The sequence below is a fragment of the Homo sapiens genome, chromosome 10 (assembly GCF_000001405.40).
Source record: "Homo sapiens chromosome 10, GRCh38.p14 Primary Assembly".
In the NCBI taxonomy this organism is placed as follows: domain Eukaryota; kingdom Metazoa; phylum Chordata; class Mammalia; order Primates; family Hominidae; genus Homo; species Homo sapiens.
Genome location: NC_000010.11, coordinates 65,860,949 through 65,883,300, shown reverse-complemented (window position 1 = coordinate 65,883,300; position 22,352 = coordinate 65,860,949). Strand labels below are relative to the sequence as shown.

Genomic DNA, 22,352 nt, shown 5'->3' with positions numbered 1-22,352 from the left:
TGAAAAGATATCCCTTGTTGATAGATTGACAGAATTATATTATGAAAATGTCCATGCAATCTGCAGATTCAATGCAATCTCTATCAAAATACCAATGACATTTTCCACAGGAATAGAAAAAAACAATCCTAAAATTCATATAGGACTACAAAAGACCCTGAATATACCAGAGTAACCCTAAGCACAAAAAGCAGAGCTGATGGTGTCATGCCACCTGACTTGTAAATATACTACACAGCTATAGTAACCAAACAGTGTGATATTGGCAACAAAGTAGACACATAGAACCCTGAAACAGAATAAAGAACTCAGAAGTAAATCCACAAATTTATAGCCAGCTGATTTTCAACAAGGTTACCAAGAACACACATTGGGGAAAGAAGAGTCTCCTTAATAAATGTTGTTGGGAAAGCTGGATATCCATATGCAGGAGAATGAAACTAGATCCCTATCTCTCGCCACACACAAATATTATTTCAAAATGGATTAAACACCAAAAGCAATATCCAAAACTATAAAACTACTAGAAGAAAATATAGGGGAAATATGTCAGGACATTGGTGCGGGCAAGGATTTTTTAAATAAGACTTCAATAACAAAGACAGGAGCAGCAAAAATATTTGTGACTTTATCAAACTAAAAAGCTTTTGAGCAGCCAAAGAAACAACGAAAAGAGAGAAGAGATAATCTATGGAATAGGAGGAAATATTTGCAAATTATCTATCTGATAGAGGATTACTCTCCAGAATATACAAGTAAATCAAGTAACCCAGCAGCAAAAATGATTAAATAATTCAATTTAAAAATGGGCAAATGATTTGAATAGAGATCTCTCAAAAGAAGACATACAAATGAGCAAAAGGCATCTGAAAAAATGCTTAAATCACTAATCGTCAGGGAAATGCAAATGAAAACCACAATGAGATATCATCTCACCCCAGATAGGATGAATCTATTATCCAAAAAATTAAGAAGAACAAATGCCGGCAGGGATGCTGAGAAAGGGAAATCTTACACACTGTTGGTGGGAATGTAAATTAGTACAACCATTATGAAAAATGGTATGGAGGTTCCTCAAAAAACTAAAAATTGAATGACTACGACATGATCCATCAATCCCACTACAGGTTATATATTCAAAGGAAAGAAAATCAGTATGTTAAAGAGATATCTGTACTCCTGTGACTACTGAAGCACTATTCACAATAGCCAAGATATGGAATCACTTTAAGTGTTCATCAGCAGACACACAGTTAAAGAAAATGTGGTATACATACACAATGATTACTATTTAGCCGTAAACAGAAGGAAATTCTGTCATTTGCAGCAACATGCATAAACTTAGAGAACATTATGTTAACTGAAATAACCCTGAAACGAAAGAGAAATACTGCATGTTTTCACTCATATGTGGAAGGTAAAAAAATTGATCTCATAGAAGTATTAATAGAGAAAATAGCAGTTACTAAAAGCTGGCTGGGCAGAGTGGCTCACGCCTGTAATCCCAGCACTTTGGGAGGCTGAGGTGGGTGGATCACCTGAGGTCAGGAGTTCGAGATCAGCCTGGCCAACATGGCGAAACCCCATCTCTACTAAAAATACAAAAATTAGCTGGGCTTGGTGGCAGGCACCTGTAATCCCTGCTACTCGGGAGGCTGAGGCAGGAGAATTGCTTGAACCCGGAAGGCAGAGGTTACCCTGAGCCGAGATCGTGCCACTGCACTCCAGGCTGGGCGACAGAGTGAGACTCCATTTCAAAACAAACAAACAAACAAACAAACAAACAAACAAAAAGTAGTTACTAAAAGCTGAGAAAGGGATAGAAATCCGGAGAGGTTAACAAATACAAAATTACATCCAGATAGAAAGAATAATTTCTAGTGTTCTATAGACTGAAGTGTGACTAGATAACAATTTATTGTATATTTTCAAATACCTGGAAGAAAGGATTTTTAACATTCTCAACACAAAGAAATAGTAAGTGTCTGAGGTGATGGATTTGCTAATTACTCTGATTTGATCTGTATACATTGTATACATGTATCAAAATATCACACTATATCCTACATAAAAATATAGTTATTAGTTATTAAATATGTGCAGTTTAATATGTAATTTTTGAATACAAAAAGTAACATCTATTGAAAGCACCTTTGATGACATAAAATATAAAATAAATTAAACATTGTTTTATTTCTATGATGAATATTTCACTCCAGACACTTCCCTGACTCTGCTCTGATTTGAAGAGCAGAAATTGAGTTAGATTTAGTGAATTAGAACCTAAGTTAAATATGTGGATGAGAAGGAAGAGAAAGAAGAGGAGATGAACAAAGGAAACACTTTGTCTCAATTTCATATAAGTCTGAATACATTTCAAAGCACTATTAACACTTTAGAATGGAAATTGCCATACATTGCATCCACTAGAAACTGGAGACATTAGCAAGAAATAGGCCATCAAAACACAGTGAGTGAATAGATGGCTCCTTTTTCCTAGCTACCAGTGGGTCTCTTACACAGTGTTTCCTTTGCTGTATAATGCTGAAGGTAAATATTTCCCCCTACTTTCAATCTCCTTTTTTCCTGAGAGCCATACTCCTCTCTTTGCATCTCTTTGCACAGGTACTCCTATCTTTGCGGAGAGCATACCTATAAGATGAAAGAGGGAAGGAGGGTAGTTAGGTCACCCTGAGGCTTTGCTTTGATTCACACCATACATGGGGTTCATAGGTGGCATCTTTCACAAAGTTGCTTCAGGTCTTCCCCAGTGGAATAAAATTGGTTTGTATACTCCATGATGGCCTGCATTGGGAAGGGCAGATCACAAAACTCCATTTCTGGCCATATCTCTCTTTAGCCAAGTCTACTAACTATGGTTGTGTTTTCATTTATTTTTATCCTCTCCTGGGAGAGATACATTTAAAATTCTACATTGGACATAAAAACTATCACATGCACACAAACATACACACACATCGCTCTGATATCCTTGGAGGCTTTACTAAGCCATAGAGTACAATTGCAACTTTGCATTATAAAACTCTAACCATATTGGAAAAACACATAGAATCTTAAAAATACACAAATTAGAATTAGCATATTAATTTTTAAAATATCCACAGGGACAACACAACATTCATAAATGACTGGCTAACTTTAGTTAGGACTCTGACACCAGGAATAAAATTAACTGACTGTTAAAAAGACATCTTTTGTAGAAGCATAGAATGTTTTTAATAGCTAGTAATAATAATAACAATAGCATTTTTATAGGTCTGTCACTCTGCGAAGTACTTTATGTGAACAAAACCATTTAGCAGTAGCAATCACAATAGGAGTTGTACTATTTTTAATCTTTCACATATAGATGAAAAAACAGAAACATATCCAGTGTATAGTGATCATAACCAATAAGTGCTAAAACAGAACCCACAGAGGTGACAGGCTTCCGTAGTAGTAGAATATAGTAAATGTTCAGGATTGTAATATTTTTAAAGGACATTCCTCTAAGATAAACTCCAAATGTCTTAAATTGGGCTTGAGACTTTTTCAAATTTTAGCAGCCAATCTACTTCTGTTAAAGGCCTATAACTGAGCATAATTCTTCAGAATAAGGGGCCTGGCCAGATGCCAGGGTTTTCTTTTTTAATTTTTTTTATTAATGGGAAGTGGTGATGAGAAAAACGATGTCTGGATTTTCCCCAGTCTGCTCCCATTACTACTACCACTGCCTCTGAACCATTATTGAGTGTACTAGACTCCGGCAAAGGCATCTGTCACCCATGCAGTAGGTTAAAGATTGTTATCTAGCCAGGTGTGGTGGCTCACGCCTGTAATCCCAACACTTTGGGAGGCTGAGGCAGGTGGATCACGAGGTCAGGAGATCGAGACCATCTTGGCCAACATGGTGAAACCCTGTCTCTACTAAAATACAAAAAATTAGCCAGGTATGGTGGTACACACCTGTAGTCCCACCTACTTGGGAGGCTGAGGCAGGGGAATCGCTTGAACCCAGGAGGCGGAGGTTGCAGTGAGCTAAGATCGTGCCACTGCACTCCAGCCTGGTGACAGAGCAAGGATTTGTCTAAAAAAAAAAAAAATATTGTCATCTAATTCTTTTTTTTTTTTTTGAGACTGAGTTCCGCTCTTCTTGCCCGGGCTGCAGTGCAATGGCACGGTCTTGGCTCACTGCAACCTCTGCCTCCTGGGTTCAAGCAATTCTCCTGTCTCAGCCTCCAAAGTAGCTGGGATTACAGAAGCCCGCCCCCACATCCAGCTAATTTTCGTATTTTCTTTTCAGTAGAGATGGAGTTATAATTCATCTTTAAGTTGTGTATGTTATGCATGACTCTCTAGGACAATCCCAATGATAGAACCATTACTTTAGCCAAGCACATTAAATAATTATGAATAACACTTGAGTAGACTTTTGTTCTTCACAGATCTTGTGTGACTTGGACTTCTCACAGATCTTCCTTTACCTGGGCTGCTGCACTGCCATCCTGCTCTGCAATGCTCTAAATCCCCTTTGAAGACGCTGAGCCATCTGCTCGAGATGGAGCCTGAATAATAAGATGCAAACATTCCTAATATAACTTTAGTGCCCCTTTGTGCCACTGTCCATCAGTTGGTTGGGGTTCTGCTTCTGTCAGAGGCTATAAAAAGAAAAGAGCAGACAGTTAAATTTTCCGCTCCTTGCTCATCCACTAATGCTTAAAGAGATAATAAAATGGACATTTATTCTCAACTACAGCTCAATTGAAATGTTATGATGTTTTTGGTGAGTTCTGAAGGGTAATGGAAAATGAGTGCCACCTGTTTAGGATGTGCCATTGGGGAAATGGCACTTCTGAGATGAATTCCACTTAAAACATAACATTTTTTTAATTTGAGATGCATTGTTCTCTGGAAGAGTAGCTGATTCCTAAGCATATGAAACAAACAGACCGTGATACACACAATTTATTTGTTTCATCTGTTTCTACAGTTAATGCATGGCAGCCCAGTCAGTCTGGCCCAGTGTAGATTATGAAGAAGGTCCAAATAAAAAGATTGGTTTCATTGCAGGTGCACCAATTTTGCTAAGGAGGGAAATCTTTTGACACCTGCTCTTTCTCTTTCCCAAATAACCTAACCTTTGATTAGGATTTCCTTTATTGCATTGGCTTATTTCCTCTCCATGTCTTTGTTGGGAAATGGGAGAGGAGTTGTAATTAGCATTAATTGATACTAAATGACAAACACTTTGCTAAGTTATTAAGTATACAATAACTTATTTATTGTTAATGAAACCTATATTAATATATATTCTTCAAAATATCAGTAAATCATGCTACTAATGCCATCATATTAATATACTATCTAGTGGAACTCTTGAACCCTTACACGTTTTTAAATTTTGAGTGGACAGGAAGAAGTGGAGAGAAGATACTCAGTTTTTCTCAGCGTATCATATTGTTATGATACGTAGAGATTGTATAGCTACACATTGGAGATGGTTTTTCTCATTGTCCCATCTGAGGATGGGAATGGTTTAACTAATTTAACCTAACAGAAAATTAAAGCTTATTCAGAATAATGAACATAACTGATTAAGTGGTAAAGCAGAGGTGACAGAGTTGATAGGCCACTCTTTTCCTTTTTAACCACAATTTCTCCCTCTGGGTATCTTGCACTCAGTTCCCTATTTAAGCAAAATCACCACACAGGAGAGTCCAGACTGGCTTACAAAGCTCTTGGTACAGGGAAAGGTTACTGAAATTGAAATGATAAGTACTAACAAAATTGTGTATAGAATACCTTCTTTGAACAGTAATGAGAATGGCAGATGATAGTAAACCTCTTCCGCAGAGATTCCTGCTAGGGTTCCCAGTGAGCTCAGTTTGTCCTAGAGCAATGGCTTGGCTCTCGTGCCTATTCCTGGTGCTCGGCACAGATGCTATTCACTCAGGCGGTGGCTGGGTGGTTCACAGATGCTCTCTACTTCTCCATGTTCCACTCCAGCACGTCTATCAGACCCCCTCCATTTCACTGCACCAGGGCAATCTTAATGCTTTCCTGGGAGTTCTTCCTCATCTCTTTTCCTCTATTCAGTCTCTTGCTTACCGATTAGCATTTTCCTTTGGAATTTTGCCTTTTGAGCTATAAAACAACAGCGACAAAACAAAAACATAAAAACAACCATAACAAAATTTCCTCTACATAATCCTTGGCTTTCTCAACTTTAGTCTCTGAAATGGACTTGTGTTTTATGCATCTTCTTTTGAAAGTCTAATACGGATATTGATTCTTTGTCTTTCTCCTATAGTAATAATTACTTTTGAGGCTTTAATGCTCAGGACGTATGCAATAGAAAAAGGTAGTTGACAAGGAAGCTTAAAACTGATTATTATGATATTTTAAAGTAGTATTTTCACATATTATTTATGATGCAGGTAAAATCTACCTCTTTAATTTATTTTATTTATTTATTTTTGAGATGGAGTCTTGCTCTGTCGCCCAAGCTAGAGTGCAGTGGTGTGTTCTCAGCTCACTGCAACTTTTGCCTTCTGGGTTCAAGCAATTCTCCTGCCACAGCTTCCCGTGTAGCTGGGATTACAGGCATGTGCCACCACACCCAGTTAATTTTTCTATTTTTAGTAGAGACTGGGTTTCACCATGTCCGCCAGGCTGGTCTCGAACTCCTGACTTTGGGTGATCCACCCACCTTGGCCTCCCAAAGTGTTGGGATTACAGGCATGAGCCACTGCGCCTGGCCAGATCATTATCATCCTCTATCTGCCATTACTTTAAATCACATATCATACATACGTATACGTTATGATGCTTACTATATTCTTCCAAGTATTTGCATCAGTGTCTCAGTGTCTCATTTTTTTCTGTGTATATTTTTCTTCCATCCAGCTGGACGCAGTGGCTCATACCTGTTGTCCCAGCACTTTCGGAGGCCAAGGCAGGCAGAACACCTGAGGTCAAGCGTTCGAGACCTGCCTAGCCAACATGGCAAGACCCCGCCTCTACTACAAATACATAAATTAGCCAGGTGTGGTGGCATGCACCTGTAATCCCGGCTCCTTGGGAGGCTGAGGCAGGAGAATAGCTTGAACCCGGGAGGCAGAGGTTGCAGTGAGCCAAGATTGCACCACTGCACTCCAGCCTGGGTGACAGAGTGAGACTCCGTCTCAAAAATAATAATAATAATAAATAATTTTTTTTTCCATTCTAAGTCTTATGCTCTAATCTGAGTGTAAATATCTAGAAGACTAGGACTATAGCTTACATTCTATCTTCGTGGAACAAAGACTTTACCTAAAGATATTTAAAAACTATTCATGAACTTCGTGCTAGAAATGAGATAAAATGAGGTTTTTAGATGATGTCTGCTGTGCCCAATAATTCAAAAAAATATATATTACATTCAGACTATGTGCCAGGCACTGAGTGGTGCACTAGGATACAATCATAGCCAGACCTGGAGCTTACACCTTGAACTTGATACTGATATATGGTACTTCTGAACTGTCTGAGGTAGCCCCTCTATAAGTTTAGAAGTTATGCTAACCTGATGCGAACACTGGACTAGAGCAAAAATACTAAAAGAAATGTCAAATGGTACCATTTACTTCAAAGTGTAGAAGAACTTTTACTATTCTGGGTGAAGTGCTAACTGGAAGATCTCTTACAATTGCGCCAAAGCATTGCCATGATAAATTAGGACCATAAACAAGATTGCTTATTCCCCAATTCTATACAAAAGCTGTGATATCCAGGCACTCGGGGGCTTGAACTTCCGAATGTGATGTGGATTCAATTTTCTCTACAAACATTGCCAAGATCTGAATTTAAACCTCAGTATTTCATCCTGCAATCTACATCTAGACACCAGAGGACAATCCACAGCAATTCAGAATCAGGGAAAAGTAAACAGTTTAAATAATGAATGAATTTCTGCCACTATAAACCAACGGTGATTATCTCCCTTAGCCCCCTAAATATTTAACCTACACTATTATGTTTCAGTTGGTGCAGTAACTGCAAAATAAACTTTTAAAAAGCCACCTTATTATGTGTGGGATATGACTATCAAGTAATGGTACTTGTTCATTGTAAGACCTAGGAAAATTATGATTTCAGTTTGTATTTATTTTTGTAAAAAGGAATTAGAATTTATATGACATGATAGAACGAAGATAATTTTAATAATAAGCTAGTTTTTTTCCCCATGTTTGAAAAAGTGGCATTTCGGTCTTCTGAAATAATTACTTATTTCTGCTATATTCTGGCTGTATGATCTCACATAAGTCAGCTGCTTTATCTGTATTTTCATTCATTCCATAGAAAAACAAGGATATTTTACTTAGTTTCACTTTACTGTCACCAATACTATGATTATTAAAGTTGATAGAGAACATCACTACAAATTAGAAATTCTATAAAATAGAAAATGGCTGTATCTTGAATAGCATTATTTTGGTGGTGGGGGAAGGTACGCGCATGTGTTAAACCATTTTAAGGTGGAGATAGGCAAAAGTTAACATAATGGGGCTTCTGGTTTCAGCTCCAGTATGTAAAGAGCTTTGAAGTCATCTCTATCATCCTTTAAGGGAGAAAAAAACTGGACAAACTGAAAATCAACAACGTTTCTGGAATTCATCAGAGAACAGAGATTGCTGCCCCAAATCTGGAGAGACAAGTAATCTAGAGAAACACAGCTAATGAAAATTGCTTAGTTGGAGAAAAAGCTGCTGAAATCCTTAAGATGATAGAAACACTTAAAAAATTATTTTGGTGAATTACTGGAAGCTGGATGTAAACTATGTTAAGACTGAGAAAGAGCTGTGTGCTAAAGTCATAAGGGACTTCCCGGTACACATGTGTATAAGCTTTAATTCCGGGAATCCCGCATGTTTCATGGTAAGGATTTGATTCCGTCATGGTTCTGTCTGGGGTAAGTGGGGGAAATGGATGTTGGTGGAGCAAAGAATACCACTCTTGAAACTGGCCTAGACATGTCCTTCAAAAAAAGAGAAAAGAAAAAAGGTTAGTCTCCAGTGGGAAGTAATTCCCTAGAGGAAAAAATCCGTCAATGTCTCTCAACTTTGCAGACTCAAATAAATCCAAATTCAAATTCCAGCAAGTTATTTTCTAGATATTGCCAAACTGATTCTAGAATGTATATATTCAGGTACAGCTCTTAGACTAGCCAATATAATTCTAAAAAAGAAGAAAATTGAAAAGTTCACATTACCTGACTTCAAAATTTATCTTAAATCCACTATAAATATCTTAAAGCCAGCATTATATTGGCAAAAGAACAGACATGTTGATCAATGGAACAGAAACACACTCATAAATATTGTCAACTAATTGTTGACATAGGCACAAAAAAAATAGGTGCATGTAAAAAAGATCTTTTCAAAAATTGAAATTGGCCTATGTATATAAAACAATGAACCAGAACAGAGACCTTACATCCTAACACAAAACTTCACTTGAAATGAATCAGAAACCTAAATGTGAAATGCAAAACTATAAAACCTCTAGATGAAAATCTAGGAGAAAATTTGCATGAACTGGAGTTTGAAGATGTTACTGGTACAACACCTAAAACATAGTCCATGAAAGAAAAAATTGATAGGTTAAACTTTAAATTTTTAAAAAATAAAAATTAAATTTGCTTTGCAAAATACACTGCTAAGGGAATGAAAAGACAAGCTACAAATGGAAAGTATTTTCAAAATACACGCTTGATAGAATACTTGCATCTAGAATGTACAAAGAACTGTTAACACTCAACTCTAAGAAAACAAACAACCCAGTTAGTAAATGGGTACAAAGATCTGAATAGACACCTCAACAAGAAAGATACACAGATGGCAAATGATCATATGAAAGATGTTCAATACTATATGTTATTATAGATATGCAAATTAAAACATCACTGAATATAACCACAAACCTATCAGAATGCTAAAATCCAAACCTATGACAATACCAACTGCTGTCTAGGATGCAGAGCAACCAAAACTCTCCTTTATTGCTAGTGGGAATGAAAAATGGTACAGACACTTTGTATGAGATTTTGACATTTTCTTACAAAGATAAAAACAGTATTACCATATGATTAAATATTTCACTCCTAGGTATCTATCCACCTGAATAGAAAATTTATGTTCATTCACACAAAAAGCTGCACGTAAATACTTTTAGCAACTTTGTTTGTGCTTGCAAAAACATGGAAGCAACAATAATGTCCTTCAATAGGTGAATTTGTAAACAAAGTGTGGCACTTCTATACAATGGAATATTATCCCATGATGAAAAGAGCTTTCAATCCACAGAACAATGCAATTTTTGTTTTGTTTTGTTTTGTTTTGTTTTGTTTTGTTTGAGAAGGAGTTTCTCTCTTGTTGCCCAGGCTGGAGTGCAATGGGACCATCTTGGCTCATCACCACCTCCACCTCCCGGGTTCAAGTGATTCTCCTGCCTCAGCCTCCCAAGTAGCTGGGAGTACAGGAATGCACTGCCATGCCCGGCTAATTTTGTATTTTTCGTAGAGATGGGGTTTCTCCATGTTGGTCAGGCTGGTCTCGAACTCCTGACCTCAGGTGATCCTCCCGTCTTGGCCTCCTGAAGTGCTGGGATTACAGGCGTGAGCCATCACACCTGGCCTACTTCTTATTTATTTATTTTTTTTCATAGAGACAGAGTCTCACTATGTAGCCCAGTCTGGTCTCAAACTCCTGGGCTCAAAGGATCCTGCCATCTCGGCCTCTCAAAGTGCTGGGATTATAGACATGAGCCACCATCCTCAGCCGTGAATTTTAATATATGCTGCTAAGTGAAAGAAACCAATCTGGAAAGGCTATATACTTTATGATTTCATTCATGTGACATGCTGGAAATAGGAAAACTGTAGAGATAGGAAACAAGTCTGTGGTTGCCAGGAATTGAGGGTTGGGGGAGGGTGGAATTGGGGAAGTACAGGAAATTTTATAGGGTTGTGAAATTATTCTGTATGCCATTGTAGTGGTGCACAAAATTATACTTTGAATTTGTCAAAACACATAGAACATTACATCATAAAGAATGAGTGCTAATGTATGCAAATTTGAAACAATAAGTTAGGAGATTTATGGAATGCACACTGTAATGGGAGAATCGAACTGTATTACAAACACACGGCATCACCTCACAGAGGGGAGTTAGTGAAAAAGGTTCTGATCTCAGTAACTTTGGAAATAAGTAGAAACTGTAAAATGAAAGATGAAAGGAACTGAGCATAAGCACTGTACTCTAGTTGATAAAGTACTCTGACCATGGGGATATAGGTTAACAGCTCTGAAATCACACATGTATTCTGGAATTTAAGTAAATGGATGGTGAATGGTGACAGTCATATTGGAGTGGAAGGTGACAGACAAGCAAGGGCTGAAGGCTAGAATGAAACATGATAATGGATTAGAGTTGGAGACATCAGCATGAACACAAGGTCAGCTTTTTTATATATACAGTTGAAAACATATAAAAAATTCATAAATACATGTGTACACACAGGCTCATATGTAACTATATATTTTCTTTTTCTGTCCTCTGAGAGGGACTAGAAGCAATGACACACTAGTCACAACAAACACACCCTTCACCCATATCTTCTTTTCTAATACCTTCTCCAATAAAAGGAACCCAATCTCCTCAGAGAAATGATTGATTCTAGGGCTGGCGTGAGGTGGGAAATAAACAAAATGAGCATGGAGTACCTTAAAGTGCCATGAAGTAAGAAAGTGCTCAAAAAAATGAAATTATGGGGGTCAGTCAATGGGGCATAGGAGCCAAGTGTAAGAGACCCTAATAGCTGAAGCTGGAAGAATTTGAGCAACAAAATAAGTAACATAGTATTGTATTATAACAAAGTATAAAATAAATATCTGTGAGTTCATACTGCTATACATGAAGGATTAAATAAATAAATAAATAAGAGAGAATAGACAAGTCTCCCATACAGAAAAATTTGATGTAGATTCTTCAGTTTCAAGGAGGTAAAATGTAACTCTCCACTCCTGAAGTGTGGGATTCACATAGTGATTTTCTTCTAGTGACTACAATATGAAAAGAGGAAAAAAAATGAGTAACATTAGGGTAGAGAAAATGGACAAATACTACCTCCACCAAGTGAACAAGGTTAACATACCAGTAATAATTCATATTGATAGCATGTACCCTTGACATGATGTGATGCAAATAACATTTTACCTCTGTGGCCTTCCTAAGACACATAATTTTTGTCTAACTATAAGAAAATCATCACACAAATCAAACTGATTGACATTTGTCAAAATAGCTGACCAACACTCCTTAAAACTATCAAGGTCATAAAAACAATTGAACGCTGAGAAATTCTGAGTCTAGAGAAGCCTAAAGACACATGACAAATATATGTGACGTGATATCTTGAATAGAATCCTGCAACATAAAAAGGACGTTAGGTTGGCCAGGCGTGGTAGCTCACGCTTGTAATCCTAGCACTTTGGGAGGTCAAGGCAGGCGGATCACTTGAGGTCAGGAGTTCGAAACCAGCCTGGCCAACATGGCCAAACCCCGTCTCTACTAAAAATATAAAAATTAGCCGAGTGCGGTGGTGGACACCTGTTACCACAGCTACATGGGAGGCTGAGGCAGGAGAATCCCTTGAACCAAGGAGGTGGAGGTTGCAGTGAGCTGAGATTGTGCCATTGCATTTCAGCCTGGGAGACAGAGAGAGACTCTCTCAAAAAAAAAAAAAAAAAAAAAAAAAAAAAAGAACATTAGATAAATAGCACAGAAATCACAATGAAATATGGACTTCAGGTAATAATAATGTTGAATATTTGTTCATTTGTATGACATATGCACTAAAGCAATCTTAACTCTAGGGGAAACTAAGTGCAGGCATATGGGAACATTCTTGCAACTTCTCTGTGTATCTAAGACTATTCTCAAATAAAAGTTTATTAATGTTAAAAAAGTTAATGTGATGCGACAACACAAATGAACAAGTCATGTCAGCCACTACCTCGCCTTCATATCCATGGTCTTTTTTTTTTCTTCATTTTTAATTTAATCTAATTTAATTTTAAGGTCTGGGATACACGTGCAAGACATGCAGGTTTGTTGCATAGGTAAACGTGTGCCATGGTGGTTTGCTGCACCTATCAACCCATCACCTAGATATTAAGCCCCCATGCATTAGCTATTTATCCTGCTAGCTCTTGAACCCATCATTATAAAACACACATTCCAGGCAGAGCCCTGGCTTGACATGATTGTGAAATACTAAACCCTGAAGCAACCCCACAAGCATGAGGTCTAATGCTTTGTCCTTGCTCTCAGCAGCCTCAGCATTTCATATATAAATGGCTGCAAAGATCTCCCTCTGTCTCACTTATGTTTGCAAATAAAGAAGACTAGAAATACATAATCCCATGCCACAATTGCCTGGTCCCTTTTCCAGGCCTCTGTTGTGTTGTGTGAGGCCAGAGGGCTCTGCATCCTCCAAAAGGCTGTCAGCACTAATTGCCCCTTATTCTCACCTTTGTCTCCTTTTGTCTCACCCTAACATAAGCCCTCAAATTAATGTAATGGAAGCCTTAAAAAAAAAATAAAATAAACATTTTTAACCGTTTTCAATTTTTGTCAGTCTTCCCTTAGGAAAGACTCTCAAATGTGGGAAAATGTTGAGGCCAATACCAAATTTTGTAAATTCACATGCTTTAATAAAATGGCATTCATTCTAAGTGTAAGAATTGTCACATCTAAAAAGCATGTTCAACTGCAAAATTATACAAACAGCTTTGTTAAAAATAGTCTAAAAAGAAAAACTTCTGATCTTCCCTGTCATAAAAATTTACAAAGTTGCTATTAGTTGGAAGCATAAGGTTAATTATGAAAATTTGCAGAAGGGACTTTGTGTTTTTTTATGTTGGAATTTTAGTGAACTGTGTTTTTTTTTGAAAAGTTCCCAAGTGGATTTTTAAAGAATTATTCATAGATACATGCTTTGCTCCTTTTTATGAGGATTTGGTAATCAAACTGAAATGAGCTTCGGGGGCAAAAAAAAAAAAAAAAAAATAGCGGGTTTATCACCAGAGGTCGGGAGTTGGAAACCAGCCTGACCAACATGGAGAAACCCCGTCTCTACTAAAAATACAAAATTAGCCGGGTGTGATGGCGCATGTCTGTAATCCCATCTACTCGGGAGGCTGAGGCAGCAGAATAGCTTGAACCCAACTCTGCAGGTTGCAGTGAGCCGAGATCACGCCGTTGCACTCCAGCCTGGGCAACAAGAGCGAAAGTCCGTCTCAAAAAAAAAAAAAAAAAAAAAAAAAAAAAAAAAAAAAAAGATAGCAACTGCTCCTGGGGTGCAGTCACTACCCTGGTCTTGAGCCACTATTGAGACAGGTCAAGGGCCTTGTTTAAAGGGCCTGCTGATGCACCGCTACCTACCACCCCCGCCCCTCCCCCGCCACACACAAGCATGGAAGGAAAATCTTGAGTTCCTTCAAGAGAAATTCCGGGCCCTTAGCTAGCCCCGAAAAGCAAATTAGCAACTTGATAAAAAAGCAAGTAAGAACTTAAAATAATAGTCAAGGAAATTAGAGTCGGGAGATGTTTTTATTCCCTAGGGAAACTAAAGATAATATCTTAAAATCTGTCCCTGAATTGTTTTTCGGAAACCTGGACCCCAACCAAACAGATCAGCTGGCATGGAGACCTTTTCCAGAAAGGGGAACTGAACTCTGAACTCTGATCATTGTTCTTTGTTCTAAATTTCTTCCTGAGGGGCCTGGAGGGAGTCACACCCATGAATCAGAACTAACATTCTTTTCTGTTGACATCAAATTTTTAAACAAAACTTCTCTTCCCTAATTAATTGCAAATCAGAAAATCCTTGAATCTACCTATTACCTGTAAGCTCCCACTTCAAGATATCTCACCTTTTTAGGCCAAAACCAAGTTGTAACCTCCATGTATTGATTTACAATTTTGCCTGTAACTTCTGGTTTCCTGAAATTTACCTCTGCCTTTAAAAATCCCAGCATTTTCGGAGGCCGAGGCGGGCGAATCACGAGGTCAAGAGATCGAGACTATCCTGGCCAACAGGGTGAAACCCCATCTCTACTAAAAATACAATAATTAGCTGGGGGTGGTGGCGTGCGCCTGTAGTCCCAGCTAGTCAGGAGGCTGAGGCAGGAGAATCACTTGAAGCCGGGAGGCAGAGGTTGCAGTGAGCCGTGATCGCGCTACTGCACTCTAGTCTGGCAACAAAGCGAAACGCCATTTCAAAAAAAAAAACCAAAAAACAAAAAAACTCCTTACCTATAAGTCATCGGGAAGGTCAGGATTTAAGCATTAGATGCTTGGTTCTCCTTGCTTGACATCCTGCAAGTAAACACTTTCCTTTCTGCTGCTGCAAAACCTTGGTGTGAATATTTGGTCTTAACTGCACGGGGTGAGCCGATCTCCATTCAGTTCCATTATACCATCCGCCATTTACTTGGTGTGTTTCACAGAAAAAATATCTTCCTTACATTACTGTTGGAGGCTCCAGGATACTTGGGAATGGTGATACATGAACCACATAATATCGCTTTATTCAAATTTGCCTCAGCTTTTTTATTTCTCAATGATTAAGATTCATAGCAACAAGAAATATCACAAAGCCATTTCACATAATTCTTTTTAAAATGCCTTACACTTGATCTTGCATAACAGCTTTTAAATCTTTTTTATATACATAGCTTGATTAATTATTACAACATTATGCAATGCAGTAATACATCCTGAAATTTACACTTTATAGATGAGTAGGCTGAAATTAAAGGAGTTAAATGAGACCAATGTCCTTATTTTCTGTTGAGAAAAAATGTTTATCTAGCATTCTGTCACACACAATCATTTTTACCTGGCCTCTACAGAGTGATAAAAATTGAGACCCTTGAGGAACCCAGAAGCAACTGACAGAAGTGGATTCCTTATCAACTTAGCAGAGAGTAAACAGTATTCAAGATTGTCAATGTATTTTATTTTCCCTTAAGTACAAATGGGTACTCAAGACGTGATAAAAATCCAGTATTTGAATAAGCAGAAAATGCTAGCTCCTGTCCCCCACACCTCAGACATACACAAAAAAGTTAAGAGTGCTTATCTTATTATTGAAAATATCTTTTGACAAAAGCTTTAGGAATTACTGTTAAAAAAAAATTGTTGAATAAAGAATCCATGAAAATTATACTGTTGAAGTTAGTATATTTCTCAGCTTTGTAAATTTATTTTGGGGGTGTAAAATTTCATGACCAAAGAAATAGGTTTAATATTTTATTAGCAAAAGTTTAGTGAATAAATCACAAGTGCATATGCTCAGTTCAATTTTGTTTTTAGTATTGAAACTTTAAGAAATATAATCATTGAATTGCTTTCCTGGACCTCAGTGCTTGAACAGGATATAAATACAGTGCAGCATGAAAGCACTACCAATGAAGCTGGGGAAATCTTGTTTAGAATGTTCTTGTGTCATTTTACATTGCATAGAATAGGGACAGCAGAATTCTGTATCCTTTTACAAATCGTTGAGTCTATGTTCCTAAAATTCTCTAATAGCCAAAGTTTAGAAACCCAGAAAGCATCAACCTCATATTTATTCCATAATAGTGAATAATAATGACATCTCATAATTTTGTTTTATCTGACTGTAATTTTTACATCTGAAATACATAATTAATTTATTGAAACTCTTATTTTGAGGCTGAAATTTTTAAGTAAAACTTAAAATGGTTTTTGCATTAATAGGATTTGTTTCTGATCCTTAATTTAATGTAACTTAGTTTTGTGACACTGGTCAAGTTACTCACCCACTGAGAAACTCACTTTATAAAGTGAGTTTTGGCCAGGCACAGTGGCTCATGCCTGTAATCCCAGCACTCTAGGAGGCCGAGGCGGGCGGATCGCCTGAGGTCAGGAGTTCAAGACCAGCCTGGCCAACATGGTGAAACCTTGTCTCTATTAAAAACAATACAAAAATTAGCCAGGCGTGGTGGCAGGCACCTGTAATCCCAGCTACTCAAGAAGCTGAGGCAGGAGAATCCCTTGAACCAGGGAGGCAGAGTTTGCAGTGAGCCGAGATTGCGCCACTGCTCCAGCCTGGGCGACAAAGCGAGATTCCTTCTCCAATAAATAAATAAATAAATAAATAGGGAATTTTGTATGAAGATGATCTTAAAGATCCTTTTCATTTATGAGATTTGAAATACATTTGTGAAAAAGGCCTACATCACTTGTTAACTTGGCAGAAAATGAAATAATTTACAATATTATTTTTACATTAAAATAACAAAAATTATATCATGTAATACAATATTGAATTATCACAATGTTTAAAAATTATAACTTAAGATTTCAGATAAATAGTTTTCATGTGGATAACCACTTATAACCAAACACATGCTCCTTCTCTTGGTGCTAGTGACATTTTAACTCTTGTCCTTGTTTAAAGGATTTTGGTGGGAAAAAAATTCAAGAACTCTGAGTTACTATAGCTAAAAATATTCCACCCCAGGCTCATAAAAATGATGCCTATTAAAAGATCATATTAAGATCTTATTAAGCTGACCCAGTGAGTAATGAAAGCAGTTTTTCTGGGGAAATTAGGAAAATATAATTTGTTTCCTCAAACTCTACCGAAGTAGCATGGTGAGAATTAACAGTGGTTTTGGTGTCTTCAGTACATTTGTGGAAAATGTTCTACTGACACGTTGAGCTCTAAACCTAGGAATCTGATTTATTTTAATCTACTGCTGTGCCAATGTAATACAATTAGACCCAGTTAACCCTTTCACTCTGTCTAAGACCTTGATGTTAATTAAAATACGAGAAAATCAAATTAAAACAAACAAACCCCCATGGCTCTGTCCCACACCCCATAGAGCTATACATGAACTAAAGGTGGTAGCTGTCATATCACTTAACTACAAACCTGGGAGGATGGGTCAGAACATATCACTCTCCAGGGCAATTTTATGGGAGGTACTGTTACCCTGTAGTCTTGTTTCATGAAAAATAATGCTGGCTGAGTGCAGTGGCTCATGTCAGTAATTCAACACTTTGGGAGGCTGTGGTGGGAGGATTGCTTGAGCTCAGGAGTTCGAGACCAGCCTGAGCAACAAAGTGAGACACCCATCTCTACAAAAAGCATTAATAAATAAATTAGCCAGGTATGGTGGCATGTGACTGTGGTCCCAGCTACATGAGAGATTGAGGCAGAAGGATCTCTTGAACCCAGGAGGTCTTGAACCTAGGAGCTCAAGGCTGCAGTGAGCTGTGTTTACTCCAGTACACTCCAGCCTAGGGGGCAGAGCAAGACCCTATCTAAAAAAAAAAAACAGAAAAGTAATGCTACCCCTGCAGCAAAGCTAAGAGCAAGACTCCTGCATAGCATCCCTTCTTCATTCTGATTCCCTATCATACTCCCCATGTCTATTCTTTGGGATGTTTTTCCCTAGGCCTCATGGTCATAGTCTCATTCACCACATGCTAGTTTAACACACCATGTGTTCTGTCTCCCCTCCCCACTACTTCAGAGTTAGGTTTCATTTTACTTACAAATGTCCAGTGTAGATAGACTTTTTATTTAACTGTGAGACTTCTTGGGTTCTTTAAAAATCTACTTTTATTTTGAAACAGAAAGAAATTATAGAGGAAAAAATTTCCCCTCCAGTTTGAAATAAGGCCTTCCCTCCTCGTTTCCTCTAAACCTTGTACATCCCTTCTTGGCCTCTTAATTTCCACAATAAATTGCCTTAATTTTTAGCACCAGATGTTTGGGAAACTACATAGATTTTTTGATAAAATAAATCCCAGAACCAAATCAAGAGGCCTCTTCTCATTGAATACTTTTTTTTTTTTCACATCCCAGGCACTTTTCCTTTTTTCCTTGACCTTCTGTTATTGTAAGCATGTGCAATTCTGCCCATCATGGAAAAACCTTCACATTCTACCAGACTTTTAAGTGAAGAATATGTTTTTTTTGTCTCCTTTTACTTATTCTTTTTAGGCCTTGCCATCTGGTTTCCATTCCCAATTTTGTTTCCAATAATTTTTCTTCTCCAAATATATTCCTGTAGCTGAGTCTCTACTCACTCTCTTCTTACTCTGTTTTCTTACATTAATGTATTTTGATTATACCCTTTTCTTGACATCTTTTTTGAAAATGTTACCTGAATTTTTTCTTCTCCAATCTATTCTTATATTTTTTGAAAATTTTACTAATTTTAAATGTTTATTTTAAGAAATTTCTTAGTTCACCAATCTTTGCATTCCACTTCTATAGAAAAAAAATAGCCAAGCATAGTGATGTACACCTGTAGCCTCAGCTACTTGAGACTTTGAGGTGGAAGGATCACTTAAGCCCGGTGGGCTATGATTAAGCCCCACTGTGCTCCAACCTAAGCAACAGAGCGAGACCAGGTCTCTAAAATAAATAAATAAATAAATAAAATACGTTAATTAATAGAAAAAAGAAATGCGATTTTTCTTTCTTCACAAGAACAGGTTTCAGGAATTAACCACTTTTAGTCTCTCTTTGCATCTAATTAATTCAGTCTTCTCCTCTGGGAAATATATTTACTCTTATTATTGAACATCTTATATTTACACTAGGAGTTGGGGGGTCACTACATTAAGAAGACAGTGTGTGCCCATCTTTTTCTCCTTTGTGTTCCCTCTCCTGCCAGCAGTCATGAACTTGAAAAAGGTCTATGTCTAATCTTCTATGTCATTAGCTATAATATCTCTGTAGACTCAGTTCTTTCCACCAATGGTCATGCAGTTCTAAATGTAAGGAGTTCTAAATGTGGCCCCCACTTTGATCATTGAGCTAAGCTGCATTCTCCAATTTAACTTTATTAGAGGGCCTTATTCTTTCAGAGTAGTGAACTATTAGGAAACTGCCTGGCCAGTTAGTAATACTAACACATGAATCCTCAATTCATATCCAGCCAGGCCCAGTTGCTTGGGTCTACTCTTCATTGGTTATAAACCCAAGCAAGGCATAAATAATTCTTAGAATGACTTTTATACCTCCTCTCACCACGGCAAACTGTTAAGGAATTGGCAAGAAATCCTTATAAATAAGAACAGATACTGGATGGGTTTGATTGAAGTACTGTACAGGAAATCAAGCTTTGGGTACATCTGCTGAAACTGGCCAGGTGAGACACAGGTGGCACATTTGGTAGCTTCTCATACTGTGACCACAGATGTAATTATAGACCTGGATATTCTAGATGCCATATTGTCATAATATTTTGTTGTTGTTGTTGTTGTTAATTTCTAGGTAAGTCTTACCTCAAAACAACTTCACTATGCTTTTTAAAGCATAATTGGCAACTTGTCTTTTTCAGCATAGTTGACTGGAAGAGATCTTTTTTTTGTTTGTTTTGTACTCTTCCCTTTTATTATGTCCTTACCAGGATGCAGGCAATCATCCCCAATCACACATAGTCTAAATTTTATTGTTTATTTCATAAACTCTGATTATAGTCTATAGACCTGGGCTGTAGGTTAATTATACTGAATTAGTTAATCTCACTGACAAGCAGACAAAAATGAGTGGGGATCCTTATATGGAAATATGTCATTTTCTTGGATTGAGGTGGAAAAATATTTTTATGTAATTCTGTAATAACAAAGTCTGGGGAGAAAATTAAAAAGACTTAAACCTAGATCTTCTAGGTATCATATGTGTTTAGAGGAGAGTGAATGGTAACAGTTACAGTTCAAAATTATCTTCAGTCTAATTTTGAACATGGAAAAATGAAAGAAAAGTAAAATGGGACACATGTTGCCAGATGGAAGGAAGTGACTTCTTGAGAAAGATCAGATCTTAAAGATCAGACTGGCTATTTATCTATCTTTCTATCATCTGTCTGTCTATACAATAAAAAAGGAGATCTACTTTATACACAAAAGTGGAACTAAGAAGTAGAAGTAAGAAGAGGAGATAATTGAGCTATTATTGGTCAATTAGCCACTAGATGTTAAAAAAATCTAACAAAATATAAAAGAGAGGAACTCAGGTACCAAATTAATTAATGCCTCCAGAGGAGCTAAGACCCCAAGATCTATACAAGGAGTTCTCTCAAAGCTGTAAATCAGGAATTAATTATAAAAGCAATTGAGAAACAGCTTATAATGATGAATTCTGCTACAAGATGGTTCAACATGTGAACAAATTTGAATGAAGAAGACCTGGAAGATCAGGGTGTAATATTTTTATACTTATTAAATATGCCTTAAAGTAATAGAGTTTCTATAAGGGTATGGCCTAGGGAATTTAAATCAATTATAAATAAAGCACAGGGAGATGGAGAAAAAAAAAACAAAATCAAGTACTAATGCAAGAGAAGGTGATCAGAATTTGCTTGAATGGTGTAATCATGTGGCAGATTCAAAAATTCATTGTTTCTACATGTCTCACAAGAAGACTCTGCAAAACAAAATCTGAAGAACAGTATGGAAGGCAAGGGTTGTACTTGAAAGCTAGGAGGCAGGAGGGCTTCAGATTCCGTGAAAAGTACTATAATCATCCTCCCACAGGTTTTTCCTGCTCACTGTGCAGACAAAATTGGTTCACAGAGACCATGCCATTGCAGTAGAGAAAGAGTTTAATTAACCTGAGGCTGGCCACACAGGAGAATGGCAGTGATCACTCAAATCAATCTTCTCAAAGGCTCAAAGGTTAGGGTTCATATAGACAATTTGGTGGGCAGGGCAAGGGCCAGGTAATGAGTGCTTGCTGATTCATTGGAGATAAAATCACAGGGGTGTGAAAAACAGTCCTTGTGTTTTGAGTCAGCTGCTGAGTGAGGCCACAGGACCTGTTGAGTCATTAGTCATGAATCTGGGTAAGGTCAGTCTGTAAAACAAATCAAATCAAATCTTATGTTTTACAATAGTAATGTTATCTATAGGAGTAACTGAGGAAGTCACAAATGAGACAAAGCTTATAAGCAGAGATGCCAAATATTTACTACATAAAGGCAAAATGTTAAGTAAGTGGTTTTAAGTGTGTAGGATGAGAAGTAAAGGCAAAAGGGAATCTCAGAAGATGGGAAGCTAGAGGAGGGGGGATGTACACATTGTATATGTCTACATTTTGCAAGTAGATGCAAAAGATTTCAAATGCTGGCCTCTGAGAAGAGAGGGAGTGTGCTTATATGAAATTTCCTCTTCCTTCATTGTATAGAAAGCTTAATATCCCATTTAACTGGTTGATATAAAATGGCTAAAAATGAGAATAAAATTTCTTTATTTAACAA

The 22,352-nt window shown here is 37.3% G+C and overlaps 1 long non-coding RNA gene across 2 annotated transcripts in view, besides 2 other annotated features; it reads left to right on the top strand.

The window, feature by feature from the left end:
- The window catches only part of LOC105378339 (uncharacterized), a 145,924-nt gene that overhangs the window by 8,204 nt on the left and 115,368 nt on the right, over positions 1-22,352 (top strand). The window lies entirely within an intron of this gene.
- Positions 20,594-20,763: an enhancer, noted in NCBI's record as "experimental_15152 CRE fragment used in MPRA reporter constructs". NCBI's record gives its function as "activates a minimal promoter by MPRAs in K562 erythroleukemia cells, with activity observed for both the introgressed and non-introgressed 10:67622381 or rs10996736 variant alleles {active_cell/tissue: K562}" and the evidence as "EXISTENCE:reporter gene assay evidence [ECO:0000049][PMID:34662402]".
- Position 20,678: a transcriptional cis regulatory region, noted in NCBI's record as "Neanderthal adaptively introgressed variant 10:67622381 (GRCh37/hg19 assembly coordinates) or rs10996736 in the experimental_15152 CRE". NCBI's record gives its function as "modulates activity of the experimental_15152 enhancer by MPRAs in K562 erythroleukemia cells {active_cell/tissue: K562}" and the evidence as "EXISTENCE:reporter gene assay evidence [ECO:0000049][PMID:34662402]".